Source organism: Homo sapiens, chromosome 9, assembly GCF_000001405.40.
Source record: "Homo sapiens chromosome 9, GRCh38.p14 Primary Assembly".
In the NCBI taxonomy this organism is placed as follows: Eukaryota; Metazoa; Chordata; class Mammalia; order Primates; family Hominidae; genus Homo; species Homo sapiens.
In genome coordinates, this window is record NC_000009.12 from 17,539,957 (window position 1) to 17,557,368 (window position 17,412).

Sequence of the window (17,412 nt, forward strand, 5' to 3'; positions counted from 1 at the left end):
AGTCTGAGATCAAACTGCAAGGCGGCAGTGAGCCTGGGGGAGGGGCGCCTGCCATTGCCCAGGCTTACTTAGGTAAACAAAGCAGCCAGGAAGCTCGAACTGGGTGAAGCCCACCACAGCTCAAGGAGGCCTGCCTGCCTCTGTAGGCTCCACCTCTGGGGGCAGGGCACAGACAAACAAAAAGACAGCAGTAACCTCTGCAGACTTAAATGTCCCTGTCTGACAGCTTTGAAGAGAGCAGTGGTTCTCCCAGCACGCAGCTGGAGATCTGAGAACGGGCAGACTGCCTCCTCAAGTGGGTCCCTGACCCCTGACCCCCAAGCAGCCTAACTGGGAGGCATCTCCCAGCAGGGGCAGACTGACACCTCACACGGCCAGGTACTCCAACAGACCTGCAGCTGAGGGTCCTGTCTGTTAGAAGGAAAACTAACAAACAGAAAGGACATCCACACCGAAAACCCATCTGTACATCACCATCATCAAAGACCAAAAGTAGATAAAACCACAAAGATGGGGAAAAAACAGAGCAAAAAAACTGGAAACTCTAAAAAGCAGAGCGCCTCTCCTCCTCCAAAGGAACACAGTTCTTCACCAGCAACGGAACAAAGCTGGTTGGAGAATGACTTTGACGAGCTGAGAGAAAAGGCTTCAGACGATCAAATTACTCCGAGCTACGAGAGGAAATTCAGAACAAAGGCAAAGAAGTTGAAAAGTTTGAAAAAAATTTAGAAGAACGTATAACTAGAATAACCAATACAGAGAAGTGCTTAAAGGAGCTGATGGAGCTGAAAACCAAGGCTCGAGAACTACGTGAAGAATGCAGAAGCCTCAGCAGCCGATGCGATCAACTGGAAGAAAGGGTATCAGCGATGGAAGATAAAATGAATGAAATGAAGCGAGAAGGGAAGTTTAGAGAAAAAAGAATAAAGAGAAATGAACAAAGCCACCAAGAAATATGGGACTATGTGAAAAGACCAAATCTATGTCTGATTGGTGTACGTGAAAGTGATGGGGAGAATAGAACCAAGTTGGAAAACACTCTGCAGGATATTATCCAGGAGAACTTCCCCAATCTAGCAAGGCAGGCCAACATTCAAATTCAGGAAATACAGAGAACGTCACAGAGATACTCCTCGAGAAGAGCACCTCCAAGACACATAATTGTCAGATTCACAAAAGTTGAAATGAAGGAAAAAATGTTAAGGGCCGAAAGAGAGAAAGGTTGGTTTACCCTCAAAGGGAAGCCCATCAGACTAACAGCAGATATCTCGGCAGAAATTCTACAAGCCAGAAGAGAGTGGGGGCCAATCTTCAACATTCTTAAAGAAAAGAATTTTCAACCCAGAATTTCATATCCAGCCAAACTAAGCTTCATAAGTGAAGGAGAAATAAAATACTTTACAGACAAGCAAATGCTGAGAGATTTTGTCACCACCAGGCCTGCCCTAAAAGAGCTCCTGAAGGAAGTGCTAAACATGGAAAGGAACAACCAGTACCAGCCGCTGCAAAATCATGCCAAAATGTAAAGACCATCGAGACTAGGAAGAAACTGCATCAACTAACGAGCAAAATAACCAGCTAACATCATAATGACAGGATCAAATTCACACATAGCAATATTAACTTTAAATGTAAATGGACTAAATGCTCCAATTAAAAGACACAGACTGGCAAATTGGATAAAGAGTCAAGACCCATCAGTGTGCTATATTCAGGAAACCCATCTCACGTGCAGAGACACACATAGGCTCAAAATAAAAGGATGGAGGAAGATCTACCAAGCAAATGGAAAACAAAAAAAGGCAGGGGTTGCAATCCTAGTCTCTGATAAAACAGACTTTAAACCAACAAAGATCAAAAGAGAAAAAGAAGGCCATTACTTAACGGTAAAGGGATCAATTCAGCAAGAAGAGCTAACTATCCTAAATATATATGCACCCAATACAGGAGCACCCAGATTCATAAAGCAAGTCCTGAGTGACCTACAAAGAGACTTAGACTCCCACACATTAATAATGGGAGACTTTAACACCCCACTGTCAACATTAGACAGATCAACGAGACAGAAAGTCAACAAGGATACCCAGGAATTGAACTCAGCTCTGCACCAAGCGGACCTAATAGACATCTACAGAACTCTCCACCCCAAATCAACAGAATATACATTTTTTTCAGCACCACACCACACCTATACCAAAATTGACCACATACTTGCAAGTAAAGCTCTCCTCAGCAAATGTAAAAGAACAGAAATTATAACAAACTATCTCTCAGACCACAGTGCAATCAAACTAGAACTCAGGATTAAGAATCTCACTCAAAACCTGTCAACTGCATGGAAACTGAACAACCTGCTCCTGAATGACTACTGGGTACATAACGAAATAAGGCAGAAATAAAGATGTTCTTTGAAACCAATGAGAACAAAGACACAACATACCAGAATCTCTGGGACACATTCAAAGCAGTGTGTAGAGGGAAATTTATAGCACTAAATGCCCACAAGAGAAAGTAGGAAAGATCCAAAATTGACACCCTAACATCACAATTAAAAGAACTAGAAAAGCAAGAGCAAACACATTCAAAAGCTAGCAGAAGGCAAGAAATAACTAAAATCAGAGCAGAACTGAAGGAAACAGAGACACAAAAAACCCTTCAAAAAATTAACGAATCCAGGAGCTGGTTTTTTGAAAGGATCAACAAAACTGATAGACCACTAACAAGACTAATAAAGAAAAAAAGAGAGAAGAATCAAATAGACGCAATAAAAAATGATAAAGGGGATATCACCACCGATCCCACAGAAATACAAACTACCATCAGAGAATACTACAAACACCTCTACACAAATAAACTAGAAAATCTAGAAGAAATGGATACATTCCTCGACACATACACTCTCCCAAGACTAAACCAGGAAGAAGTTGAATCTCTGAATAGACCAATAACAGGAGCTGAAATTGTGTCAATAATCAATAGCTTACCAACCAAAAAGAGTCCAGGACCAGATGGATTCACAGCCGAATTCTACCAGAGGTACAAGGAGGAACTGGTACCATTCCTTCTGAAACTATTCCAATCAATAGAAAAAGAGGGAATCCTCCCTAACTCATTTGATGAGGCCAGCATCATCCTGATACCAAAGCCGGGCAGAGACACAACCAAAAAAGAGAATTTTAGACCAATATCCTTGATGAACATTGATGCAAAAATCCTCAATAAAATACTGGCAAACCGAATACAGCAGCACATCAAAAAGCTTATCCACCATGATCAAGTGGGCTTCATCCCTGGGATGCAAGGCTGGTTCAATATACGCAAATCAATAAATGTAATCCAGCATATAAACAGAACCAAAGACAAAAACCACATGATTATCTCAATAGATGCAGAAAAGTCCTTTGACAAAATTCAACAACGCTTCATGCTAAAAACTCTCAATAAATCAGGTATTCATGGGACGTATCTCAAAATAGTAAGAGCTATCTATGACAAACCCACAGCCAATATCATACCGAATGGGCAAAAACTGGAAGCATTCCCTTTGAAAACTGGCACAAGACAGGGATGCCCTCTCTCACTACTCCTATTCAACATAGTGTTGGAAGTTCTGGCCAGGGCAATTAGGCAGGAGAAGGAAATAAAGGGTATTCAATTAGGAAAAGAGGAAGTCAAATTGTCCCTGTTTGCAGACGACATGATTGTATATCTAGAAAACCCCATTGTCTCAGCCCAAAATCTCCTTAAGCTGATAAGCAACTTCAGCAAAGTCTTAGGATACAAAATCAATGTACAAAAATCACAAGCATTCTTATACACCAACAACAGACAAACAGAGAGCCAAATCATGAGTGAACTCCCATTCACAATTGCTTCAAAGAGAAGAAAATACCTAGGAATCCAACTTACTAGGGATGTGAAGGACCTCTTCAAGGAGAACTACAAACCACTGCTCAAGGAAATAAAAGAGGATACAAACAAATGGAAGAACATTCCCTGCTCATGGGTAGGAAGAATCAATATCGTGAAAATGGCCATACTGCCCAAGGTAATTTACAGATTCAATGCCAGCCCCATCAAGCTACCAATGCCTTTCTTCACAGAATTGGAAAAAACTACTTTAAAGTTCATATGGAACCAAAAAAGAGCCCGCATCGCCAAGTCAATCCTAAGCCAAAAGAACAAAGCTGGAGGCATCACGCTACCTGACTTCAAACTATACTACAAGGCTACAGTAACCAAAACAACATGGTACTGGTACCAAAACAGAGATATAGATCAATGGAACAGAACAGAGCCCTCAGAAATAACGCCGCATATCTACAACTATCTGATCTTTGACAAACCTGAGAAAAACAAGCAATGGGGAAAGGATTCCCTATTTAATAAATGGTGCTGGGAAACCTGGCTAGCCATATGTAGAAAGCTGAAACTGGATCCCTTCCTTACACCTTATACAAAAATCAATTCAAGATGGATTAAAGACTTAAACGTTAGACCTAAAACCATAAAAACCCTAGAAGAAAACCTAGGCATTACCATTCAGGACATAGGCATGGGCAAGGACTTCATGTCTAAAACACCAAAAGCAATGGCAACAAAAGACAAAATTGACAAATGGGATCTAATTAAACTAAAGAGCTTCTGCGCTGCAAAAGAAACTACCATCAGAGTGAACAGGCAACCTACAAAATGGGAGAAAATTTTCACAACCTACTCATCTGACAAAGGGCTAATATCCAGAATCTACAATGAACTCCAACAAATTTACAAGAAAAAAACAACCCCATCAAAAAGTGGGCGAAGGACATGGGCAGACACTTCTCAAAAGAAGACATTTATGCAGCCAAAAAACACATGAAAAAATGCTCACCATCACTGGCCATCAGAGAAATGCAAATCAAAACTACAATGAGATACCATCTCACACCAGTTAGAATGGCAATCATTAAAAAGTCAGGAAACAACAGGTGCTGGAGAGGATGTGGAGAAATAGGAACACTTTTACACTGTTGGTGGGACTGTAAACTAGTTCAACCATTGTGGAAGTCAGTGTGGCGATTCCTCAGGGATCTAGAACTGGAAATACCATTTGACCCAGCCATCCCATTACTGGGTATATAAACCCGAAGGACTATAAATCATGCTGCTATAAAGACACATGCACATGTATGTTTATTGCAGCATTATCCACAATAGCAAAGACTTGGAACCAACCCAAATGTCCAATGATAGACTGGATTAAGAAAATGTGGCACATATACACCATGGGATACTATGCAGCCATAAAAAATGATGAGTTCATGTCCTTTGTAGGGCCATGGATGAAATTGGAAATCATTCTCAGTAAACTATCACAAGAACAAAAAACCAAACACCGCATATTCTCACTCATAGGTGGGAATTGAACAATGAGAACACATGGACACAGGAAGGGGAACATCACACCCTGGGGACTGTTGTGGGGTGGGGGGAGGGGGGAGGGATAGCATTGGGAGATACACCTAATGCTAGATGATGAGTTAGTGGGTGCAGTGCACCAGCATGGCACATGTATACATACGTAACTAACCTGCACATTGTGCACATGTACCCTAAAACTTAAAGTATATTAAAAAAAAAAAGTTATATGCTCAGGGAGACCATTAAAGTCTAACAAGCTCCTGTATTCTTTGAGGAACCTAATATTTCTTTTGGGAGAAGTAAGTATTCTTTCATTTTAAAAGTATTACATGTCCATTTTAAAATGTTTTGGTGGTTGGTGTTTTTAACTTTTGTTTTGGCAAATGATTAAGAGGAAAAGTCAACGCTTGTTTTTGGTATGAGAGCAAATAAGTTCTTTCAAACACTAAGACCAGAACCTAATGTTTGCAGTATGCGCTTTTGATCATGGCAAAGTTTAGAGTTAGAGGCATCATGCCCCCTGAACTGCCATTCTTAGATGAATTCTAGGAACTAATAACAAGAGAGTATACTACTAGTAGGACTCACCTGGTCACCTTGAGACAGGATCCATTGTGAGTTCTTGGGTCTATAGAGAGAGCCTATTGCCAGGACCAGTAGGGGGCTTAAGCTTCAAGCAACTGATATGACATTGGAAATATAAGATCAGTTGTGGTAGAGGGGTTTAGGTGTCAGGACTAAACTTGAGGATGCCCCACCCCTTCGGAGTCCAGAATCAAACTATCAGGGAACAAAACCTGGCCCTGCCTCTTACTCTCTGTATGGCCTCAGGAAACTTGCATTAATACCTGTATGCTTCAGTTTCCTCATATGTAAAATTTAGACAATAGTACTGCCTCATAGAATTGTTTTGAGGATAGTCATAATATTTCATAAGATTAATGTGAGTAAACAGAAATACAAACAATCATCAGAGAATACTATAAACACCTCTATGCAAATAAACTAGAAAATCTAGAAGAAGTGGATAAATTCGTGGACACATACACCCTCTCAAGACTGAACCATGAAGAAGTTGAATCCCTGAATAGACCAATAACAAGTTCTGAAACCGTGGCAGTAATAAATAGCCTGCCAACAAAAAAAGCCCAGGATCAGATGGATTTATGGCTGAATTCTACCAGAGGTTCAAAGAGGAGCTGTTACCATTTCTTCTGAAACTATTCCAATCAACTTAAAAGGAGGGACTCCTCCCTAACTCATTTTATGAAGCTAGCATCATCCTGATACCAAAACCTGGTAGAGATACAACAATAAAAGAAAATTTCAGGCCAATATTTTTGATGAATATCAATACAAATATCCTCAGTAAAATACGGGCAAACCGAATCCAGCAGCACATCAAAAAGTGTATCCACCACGATCAAGTTGGCTTCATCCCCAAGATGCAAGGCCGGTTTAACATACACAAATCAATAAATGTAATTCTTCATGTAAACAGAACTAAAGACAAAACCCACATGATTATCTCAATAGATGCAGAAAAGGCCTTCAATAAAATTCAACAGCCCTTTATGTTAAAAACTCTCAATAAACTAGGTATTGATAGAACATACCTAAAAATAATAAGAGCCATTTATGACAAACCCACAGCCAATATCACACTAAACGGCAAAAGCTGGGAGCATTACTCTTGCAAACCAGCACAAGAGGTGCACTCTCTTACCATTCCTATTCAACATAATATTGAAAGTTCTGACCTGGGCAATCAAGCAAGAGAAAGAAATAAAGCGTATTCACATAGGAAGAGAGAAAGTTAAACTGTCTCTGTTTGCAGATTACATGATTCTATATCTAGACAACCCCATCATCTCAGCCCAAAAGCTTCTTAAGCAGATAAGCAACTTCAGCAAAGTCTCAGGATACAAAATCAATATGCAAAAATCACAAGCATTGCTATACACCAACAATAGACAAGCAAAGAGCCAAATCATGAATGAACTCCTGTTGAGAATTGCTACAGAGAATAAAATACCTAGGAATACAGCTAACAAGGGATGTGAAGGACCTCTTCAAGGAGAACTACAAACCACTGCTCAAGGAAATAAGAAAGGACAAAAACAAATGAAAAATATTCCATGCTCATGGATAGGAAGAATCAATATCATGAAAATGGCCATCCTTCCCAAAGTAATTGATAGATTCTATGATATTCCCATTAAACTACCATTGACATTCTTCACAGATTTAGAAAAAAAAGTATTTTAAAATTCATGTGGAACCAAAAAAGAACCTGTATAGCCAAGACAACCCTAAGCAAAAGGAACAAAGCTGGAGGCACCATGCTACCTGACTTCAAACTATACTACAAAGCTATAGTAATCAAAGCAGCATGGTACTAGTACCAAAACAGATATATAGACCAATGAAACAGAACAGAGGCCTCAGAAATAACACCACACATCTACAACCATCTGATCTTTGACAAAGCTGATAAAACCAAGCAATGGGGAAAGGATTCCCTACTTAATAAATGGTGCTGGGAGAGCTGGCTGGTCATCTGTAGAAAATTGAAACTGGGCCCCTTCCTTATACATTGTACAAAAATTATCCCAAGATAGATTAAAACCTTAATTGTAAAACCCAAAACTATGAAAACCTTAGAAGAAACCTAGAAGAAAATCTAGGCAATACCATTCAGGACATAGGCATGGGCAAAGATTTCATGACTAAAACATCAAAGGCAATTGCAACAAAAGCAAAATTGACAAATGGGACCTAACTAAACTAAAGAGCTTCTACACAGCAAAGAAACTATCATCAGAGTGAACAGACAACCTACAGAATGGGAGAAAATTTTTGCAATCTATCCATCTGATAAAGGTCTAATATCCAGAATCTACAAGGCACTAAACCAATTTACAAGAAAAAAAAGCAAACAACCCCATCAAAAAGTAGGCAAAGGACATAAACAGACATTTCTCAAAAGAATACATTTATGTGGCCAACAAACATATGAAGAAAAACTCAACATCACTGATCATTAGAGAAATGCAAATCAAAACCACAGTGAGATACCATCAGACCAATCAGAATGGAGATTATTAAAAAGTCAAGAAACAACAGATGCTGGTGAGGCTGTGGAGAAATAGAAATGCTTTTACACTGTTAGTGGGAATGTAAATTAGTTTAACCATTATGGAAGATAGTGTGGTGATTCCTCTAAGGCCTAGAACCTGAAATACCATTTGACCCAGCAATCTCATCATTGGATATATGCCCAAAGGAATAGAAACCACTCTATTATAAAGATTCATGCATGCTTACATTTATTGCAGCACTATTCACAATAGCAAAGACATGGAATCAACCCAAATGCCCATCAGTGATAGACGGGATAAATAAAATGTGGTACGTCTACATCATGGAATACTATGCAGCCATAAAAAGAAATGAGATCATGTCCTTTGCAGGGACATGGATGCAGCCATTATCCTCAACAAACTAACACAAGAACAGAAAACCAAACACTGAATGTTCTAACTTGTAAGTGGGAGCTAAACAATGAGAACACATGGACACAGGGAGGTGAACAACACACAAGTAGGGTCTGTTAGGGGAGGGGTCAGGGGGAAGGGAGAGCATCAGGAAGAACAGCTAATGTATGCTGGACTTAATACTTAGGTGATGGGCTGATAAGTGCAGCAAACCACCATTGCACACATTTACCTATGCAACAAACCTGCACATCCTACACATGTATCCTGGAACTTAAAATAAAATACAGATTAATGTGAGTAAAATGCTTAGCACAGTGCTTGGCATGTTAGAAATGCTTGATAAATATTATTATTTTTATAATTAGTAGGCAAAATGCTTTATAATAACTTCATTCTAGTTCAGGAGTGCTGTGAAAATTATTTATAAGAATGAGCTGATGTTATTTAACATACGACCTATAAAATAGAGCAGAAGTTCACCTCTGTAATCTACCTAAATATTCACACAGAAGAGCATTAGCTAAAACATTTGAACATGAGTTAGCTGGGAGTTGAGATGGTGAATCATTCTCCCCAGTGATCTGTAATGATCGCTAAGAACCACCTCTAAAGGCTGGAGGCCTAGGGTACTTACAAGACAGGTGGGGAGATCCTATACTCAGAAAGAGAGGATGGATCCCCACCAGGGTAGAGGGTTTAACACCTGGACCCAAGAGTCACAGCAGTTTACCCATCATGACTACAGCCAGATTCCCTGCCTGTAAACTGAGCAACTGTAGGGCTTTAAATCATTCTCTCAACAAGTATTTAATGAGCACTTACTATTTTCCAGTGGGGATATGATAGTTAGCTCAAACCCCTGGGCCCAGTCTTCATGGAGCTCACAGTCTATGGGTCCATCCTTGGAAAACTTCAAGTTAAGCAAGAGCAGTGAGAGTTTCCTATCCTCCTCCCGTTAAAATAACTTTTTACCTCCAGGGAAATGATCTTTTTACAAAAATATGCCCCAACTCTCTGGTTTTGTCTTTAGTTTACTTTTAAATAAACTTGGATCATGGAATGAAAGATAAGGAAACTTAATAGGCTGTTGAAGCGAAAACCCTCAGAAGAGGTTGTTTCAACCAGACTTTCCTTTCTGATAAATCACTGGAGCTGCCTAAACTGAATCCCATCAATCCTCTGTTCTCTGCTAGCCCTTTGTCTTAGCCCACTTGGGCTGCTATAACAGGAATGGCATACACTGCGTGGCTTATAAACAATAGAAATTTATTGCTCACTGTTCTGAGGGCTGGGAAGTCCAAAATTAAGGCACCTGAAGTTGCTGTGTCTGGTGAGGGCATGCTTTCTGCTTCATAGATCGCACCTTCTAACAATGTCCTCACAGGGTGGAAGGGGCTAGCTTTTTGGGTTCTCTTATAAAGGCAATCATCTCATTCACGAGGGTGGAGCCTCATGACCTAAACCCCTCCCAAAAGCTCTCATCTTGTAATACTGTCACATTGGGGATCAGGTTTCAACTTAGGAATTTTGGAGGAACATAAACATTCGGATCATAACATCCTTCGTTTCCCACATTCTTGGCAATTTCTTCCCTGGCTCATTGCCAACTGCCCTACTGTCCCTGACTACCTGTGACGGTTAATTTTAGGTGTCAATTTGACTGGACTAAAGGATGCACAGATAGCTGATAAAACATTAATTCTGGGTGTGTCTGTGAGGGGGTTTCTGGAAGAAATTAGCGTTTAACTCAGTAGACTGAGTAAAGCAGATCACCCCCACCAGTGGGAGTGGGCATCCTGCAATCCATTGAGGGCCTAAATACTAATAGAAGAAAAAGGCAAAGGAGGGGCGAATTCACTTTCTCTGTTGGAGCTGGGACATCCATCTTCTCCTGCCCTCAGATATCAGAACCCCTGGTTCTCAGACCTTTGGACCTGAACTGAATTATACCACTGGCTTTTCTAGTTCTCCAGCTTGCAGAGAGCAGATCATGATACTTAGCCTCCATAATCACATAGGAAAATTCCTATAAATAATAAACGTGTGTGTGTGTGTGTTTGTACGCGTGCGCATGTGTATGTGTGTGTATATGATGGTTTCTTTGGAGAATCCTATTACTCAAGACTGCCTTTTCTTCATCAAATATGTTGATGCAGGTAGGATGAAGTGTCAGCAAATGAGCATATTCTAATTTACTCTTTCACTTTAAAAAACAAAACCAGATAATCATGGCAAGAAACCCTCCTTGACCCTCTGCATTTCTGCCTTATTTCTCTATTTTCATCCACAGTCAAAATTCTCAGGAGTTGTCTGCATACCCTGTCTTCAGTTTTGCATGACTCATTCACCCTTCAACCTCCTCCAACCTGGCTTCTACTCCCTCAGCTCCACCCACGACATTTGCTGAAGCCATAAATTACCTTCAGGTAATCAAATAAGGTCATTTGGTATTTTTCTTTTTAATGAAATATAATGAACGCATAGGACAGTACAAAAAGCATAAGCATACAGCTTGATGATGTTTTTGAAAGTGATCACATCCATTGGACCATCACTAAGGGCAAGAAGTAGGACATTTTCAGCACCTTATAAACATCCATATGCCCCTCCCTAAGGTCACTGCTATTCTGACCTATCAACATATCCTTATTTCCTGTTTTTGAACTTTATAGAAATGAGAATTTATAGTATGTGCTTTTTTGTGTGTTTGGCTTTTTACACTCAGCATTATATTTGGGATATTCAGGATTTAGTCTTATAAACTATGAATATACAAATATACCGCGATTTATTAATACAAATTTACTCTTGACAAATTTGATTGTTTTCTGTTTTTGGCTATTATGAATATTGTTGCAATGAACATCCTTATGCATGCTTTTTATGTACATATATATGCATTTCTGTTAGTTATATAACTGTGAGTAGAATTGCTGGGTCTTAAAGAATGTAGATGGAGGATGCTAGTTTTCAAAGTGATTGTACCAGTTTACACTCTTACCAGCAATATGTAAGAGTTCCAATTGCTGGCCAGGCGTGGTGGCTCACGCGTGTAATCCCTGCACTTTGGGAGGCCGAGGTGGGCGGATCACGAGGTCAGGAGACAGAGACCATTCTGGCTAACACGGTGAAACCCCGGCTCTACTAAAAATACAAAAAAATCAGCCAGGCGTGGTGGTGGGCGCCTGTAGTCCCAGCTACTCGGGAGGCTGAGGCAGGAGAATGGCGTGAACCCAGGAGGCGGAGCTTGCAGTGAGCCGAGATCACGCCACTGCACTTCAGCCTGGGCAATAAAGCAAGACTCCGTCTCAAAAAAAAAAAAAAAAAAAAAAAAAAAGAGTTCCAATTGCTACAGATTCTCATGAACATGTTATTTTTACACTTTTTAATTTTGCCATTCTGTAATTTTTAGTGGTATCTAATTGTATTTTTATTCCTCTAATAAATACTAAGGTTGAGCAACCTTTCAAAAACTTATGAACCATTTGTATATGTTCATAATTGATGTGCCCATTCAAGTCTTTCGCCCATTTTTAAAAGCTTTATTGAGATATAATTGATATACAAAATTTGTACGTATTTAATATATACTTTTCAATTAGTTTGGACAAATGCATACATCCATGATATCACCACAACAAGGTACTACTAGACCGTATATCTATGATATCACCACAATCAAGGTACTAGATATATCCATCACCTCTAAAAATTTCTGTATGTTCGTGTGTGTGTGTGTGTATTAAGAACACATAACATGACATCTATTCTTTTAACGTATTTTAAAGTGTGCAATACTGTACTGTTAACTGTAGGTACTATATTGTACAGCAGATAATAAGTTCTAGAGAACTTATTATCTTGCATATTTTAAATTTTGTCTATTTTTTGAAATTGGGATTTACATGCTTTTCTCATTTATTTTTAAGATATTTTACATTTTCTGAATATGGCCTTCCTTAGTATATGAATTTCAAAATCTTCAACTTTGTGGCTGTCTTTTCTGTGAATAATCTCTTTTAATGTATATGTTATGTCTCTCTGTTTAAATCTTCAATTTTTCTCAGCAGTATTGATAGCTTTATTTTGGAGTTTTTTGCACATCTTTTATTAGATTTATTCCTGTGCATTTGATGGTTGTTGATGATAGTAAACACAACGTCTTTTTTTCTTTTAGAATTTCGCTGTTTATTGCTGGTGTATAAAACTAAGATTATTTTTATCTATTAACTTTTCATCACCCGTATTCCTAAATTTACTTATTAATTCCAACGAACATTAATTTATCTGAAGGTTATTTTTTGTTTCCTAGGTATACAATAATTTTATATGTAAAAAATTAAAGTTTCATTTCATATTTTCCAATCTTTATTACCCTTTATATTTTTATCTTGCCTTTTGTATTGGCCAGCAGTACCTCCAATAAAATTTTAAATAAATGTTGTAACAGCAGAAATTCTTGTCTTATTCTCATTCTCAAGGAAAACATTTTTAATAACTGATATTTGCTTTGTAATTTCTGTTGATATAGTTTATCAGATTTAAAAGTTGTGTCCTATTCATAGTTAGCTAATAATTTCTTGTTTCTAATAATTTTCCATCATAAATGTTAAACCCTATTTTTCTGTATTCATTAAAACAATTATTTTTTCACCTTTTTGTCTCTTAATATGGTTAATTGATTTTTTTTAATGTTAAACCAACCTCGTTTCCTAGAACAAACCCAATTTGGTGGTCATATATTATTCTTTTTATTTATTGCTAGATTTTATTTGTTAATATATTGTTTAGGACTTTTTGCATCTATGTTCATGAGAGAAATGAAACTGTAATTTCCCCTTCTTACCAGGTTTTGACATTCAGGTCATCCCAGTCTCATAACACTTGTTGGGAAATGTCTCCCCAACCCCCTAATTGTATTTATGCATGTATTTATTTGTTCATTTAGAGACAGAGTCTCACTCTGTCATGCAGACTGGAGTGTAGTGGGCGTGATCATGGCTCACTGCAGCCTCAATCTCCCTGGCCCAAGTGATCATCCCCCATTAGCCTCCTGAGTAGCTGGGACCACAGGCACATGCCACCATGCCTGGCTAATTTAATTTCCCTTCCCTTCCCTTCCCTCCTAATTTACTCCCTTCTCCTCTCCTCCCTTCCCCTCTCCTCCCTTCCATTCCCCTCCCCTTTCTCTCTCTCTTTCTTTCTCTCTTCCTCTTTCTTTCTTTTTTCTTTCTCTTTCTTTCTCTCTTCCTCTTTCTCTCTCTCTCTCTTTCCTTCCTTCTTTCTTTCCTTCTTTCTTTCCTTCCTTCCTTCCTTCTCTCTCTCTTTCCTTCCTTCCTTCCTTCCTTCTTTCTTTCTTTCTTTCTTTCTTTCTCTTTCTCTCTTTCTTTCTTTCTCTCTCTCTCCTTCCTTCCTTTCTTTCTTTCTTTCTTTCTTTCTTTCTTTCTTTCTTTCTTTCTTTCTTTCTTTCTTTCTTTCTTTCTTTCTTCTTTCTTTCTTTAGATACAGGGTCTCACTATGTTACCCAGGCTGGTCTGGAACTCCTGAGCTCAAGTGATCTTCCCGCCTTGGTCTCCCAAAGTGCTGGCATTACAGTCATGAGTTAGTGCAGCCAGGCCTCTTGATTAAAAAAAAAATTAAAATTCAGAAAAATTTGTGTAAGATCTTTTGGAATAGCTTACCAGTGATACTATAGAAACTTGAAGTTTTCTCAGAGAGAAGATTTTAACCAAAGATTCAATTTCCTTAAAAGATATAGTACTCTTCATATCATTAGTCAATGGTGAAATGTGGGATGTAATGACTTCATCAGGTTAGAGTTTAGAAATTCACTCTGGTCTCATTGCAGAGGATAGATTGAAGGCAGACAATAATGGACAGAGGCCAGTCAGGAAACTGACAATAGTTACTCGTTGACATCAGTACTAAGCAATGGCAGAGAGTTGAAGAAGCGGGAACAGGTGAAAGTAAATACTTATATATTTTTTAAAGAAATGACTTAGAAAAGACAGTAGTAAGGCAAGGATGGTTTATTTTAAAAGTCTGAGTTTACTGTGTATTTTCTTTACTTTTATAAACAGAATCAGAGAGCTGGTACCATTTTAGTAGGTTCGTGGCCTGCCTGAAAACTATGACCTTGGAGCATCATTTACTCAAAATGCTAATCCAAAAACAGGACATCAAAACTAGTCATCCTTCACCTCATGGAAATGAATACCCCAAGGTAATATGGTGTTATTATTATTATTTCTTGATTGGCATATAGATGTTGTGAGGGTGGATCTTACACCCATGCTGTATCCTTCCTGTCTCTCCTTTCCATTCTGTAGGTTTCCTCTGGTCACTTTCCACACATCCTCATTTGGCCCCTGCTCATGAGCAAGTTGATTTAGGAGATGGTGCCTGGCAGTTCCTCCTCTGATTATCCAGGGAAGACAGAAAAAGAGGAAAACAGGAGACAAGAAGTAAAGCTTAGAACAGAGAGGTAACCATTAACCAGTAAGGGCTAATAGATGAGTCCAGAGAAAAGATAACAAAGGAGGCAAGGAGAGCATGGTAAGCCATGGTAGGGGTGAGGGAAAGATATTGAAGATTGAACTCCACCAGTGTGGGATAATGTTTGTATGTGGACTGTGTTGTGTCTCAGGTTCAGGTTGTTTAAGCAGCCTAGTGACCCAGATGGTCCCCTCCTTAGTGTCTGGTTTTGTCAGGTTGTAACTTGGCTTTTTCAGTTCCCTAATATCTCACATTATCTCCTCTTCCTCCTAGGCCTTAATCATGTCTTACTTTTTTACCTCCCAATTGGTTGATATTGAATTCTTATTAAATAAAAATGTACTCTTTACTCTTGAGTTAAAATTCTGATGGGGGAAGAATGTATACACAGAAATAATGTCACAACTATTTATGTTAATTAAAGGAAATACAGAGCAAGGTCAACTGAGATATTCCGGAGAAGGGAGTTTCCTTAGGGTATTGCCGCATGGACATACGTGCTCACTGTGGCACAGAAACACCTGCAGATTTTTCTTTCACGTAAGACTCAGAGGCAAAGTTACTGTAATCAAGAATATGTTGTTAAGAAGGCCTGGTATTAATACTGTCATTGGTAAGCATTTTGTAACTTATATAAAGCAGACCTTGGGTTTTCAGGACACTTCATCTGCTAATTGTCAACAAAATACAGCTGAGGTTGCAATGTGTCAGCAAGAATGTCAAGGAGGAAGTCAGAGGGTCAAATCAGCTGGGGCTTGGCCCATTTACCCTAGGTGGTGTTCTTAAAGACTCAGTGGTTCATTCTGCTTGGCAGCTTAAAGAGCCATTGAGGTTCAGAACTAAAAATGTGTGGGCCAGGAAGAGGGCAGTGAATGACTGGGACCAACTTGCCAGTGTCTCCCAGGGGCACCGGCTCAGATAACTGGAAGTCTGGAAGCTTTCTCATACGCAGCCAGTCCCGTAAGCAGCTCTTGGCAAGACTAAAAAAAAAAAAAAAAAAAAGAAAGAAAAAAAGAAAAGAGCTTCCCACTTGTGTTTCTTAACTGTAACTGTGCCTAAGAATCACGTGGTGCTTGTCAAAGTGCATATTCCTGAGCCCTACTCACAGGCACTTACACGCTCCTTTCGGGGTTGGGCCCAGAGATCAGCATTTTCACAGGCACACCAGGTATTCCAGAATAAGATGGTCTGTGGAGCACGTTTTCAGAAATGCTGCCTTAAAGCCTTCCACGTGTCCCAGCTGTCTAATCACTGTATGAGGGTCCATGATTTAATCTATTTTCAAAGACAGGGGTCTGGAAGTCGTTTTTCTCCTCCCACATTCAATCTGTCATCTCCTTCTGCCACTGTGTTCTAACATTTCCCTTAAGTTTGGGCCCTCTCCTCAAGCTCCTCACTGAAAAGCACTGTCTAAGCTGGATGCATTTCACACGAGAGCTTCTGTGGTTGGACTGCTTAAGTTAAACCAGCCTCCACGAGGGTGTCCAGCAGAGAGGTGCACCTGAGGGATTAGGGCAACAACCTAACTCGGGCCTCAGTTACTGCAGAATTCAATTTGCCAGAGGTGCCAACGTGAAGACCAAAGGTTGAGTCTTACACAGGTCTTCCTGTTTTGTTTCTTTAAACCTTGAACGTTTTGCCAATGTTTTTAAATGGGGGGAATTTCTCATAGACATCCAGATTTCTGGGTGTTCTTAGAATATCAGATCTGGCTAGTTTGGCCAGTTTCCCTAAGGGCAACAGTCAGCTGGGTTGAGGAGAGGCTGCCCTCTTGAGACGCTGTACCAGCCTCCCCAAGCAGAGGTACATATTGTCTGAAGATAAGAAAGCTAACATGCTAAAGCCTGATCTTTCAAGGCCCTTGACCCAATTTTGTATTTGCAATTCTGTGTTGTTTTCTTAAAGAGGCCTCCACAATTGTATACATTTCTGACTCCAGGAAACCTGGATCTTCTCCTGCAGCTCTGCTCTATGGACTCCCCACACTGAGGTCAAGGGTGGCTGCCATTTATCA

At 39.4% G+C, this 17,412-nt stretch overlaps 1 long non-coding RNA gene across 1 annotated transcript, besides 1 other annotated feature; it reads left to right on the plus strand.

The window, feature by feature from the left end:
* Positions 1-500: an enhancer, noted in NCBI's record as "H3K4me1 hESC enhancer chr9:17539955-17540454 (GRCh37/hg19 assembly coordinates)". NCBI's record gives its function as "activates a minimal SCP1, AML or CMV promoter by ChIP-STARR-seq in primed H9 embryonic stem cells {active_cell/tissue: H9 hESC(primed)}" and the evidence as "EXISTENCE:reporter gene assay evidence [ECO:0000049][PMID:30033119]".
* LOC107987051 (uncharacterized) lies at positions 7,911-15,747 on the plus strand. Its single transcript, XR_001746631.2, has 3 exons — positions 7,911-11,329; positions 14,984-15,126; positions 15,233-15,747. It is a non-coding gene; the product is annotated as an uncharacterized LOC107987051 (long non-coding RNA).
* The last annotated feature ends 1,665 nt before the right edge of the window (positions 15,748-17,412 follow it).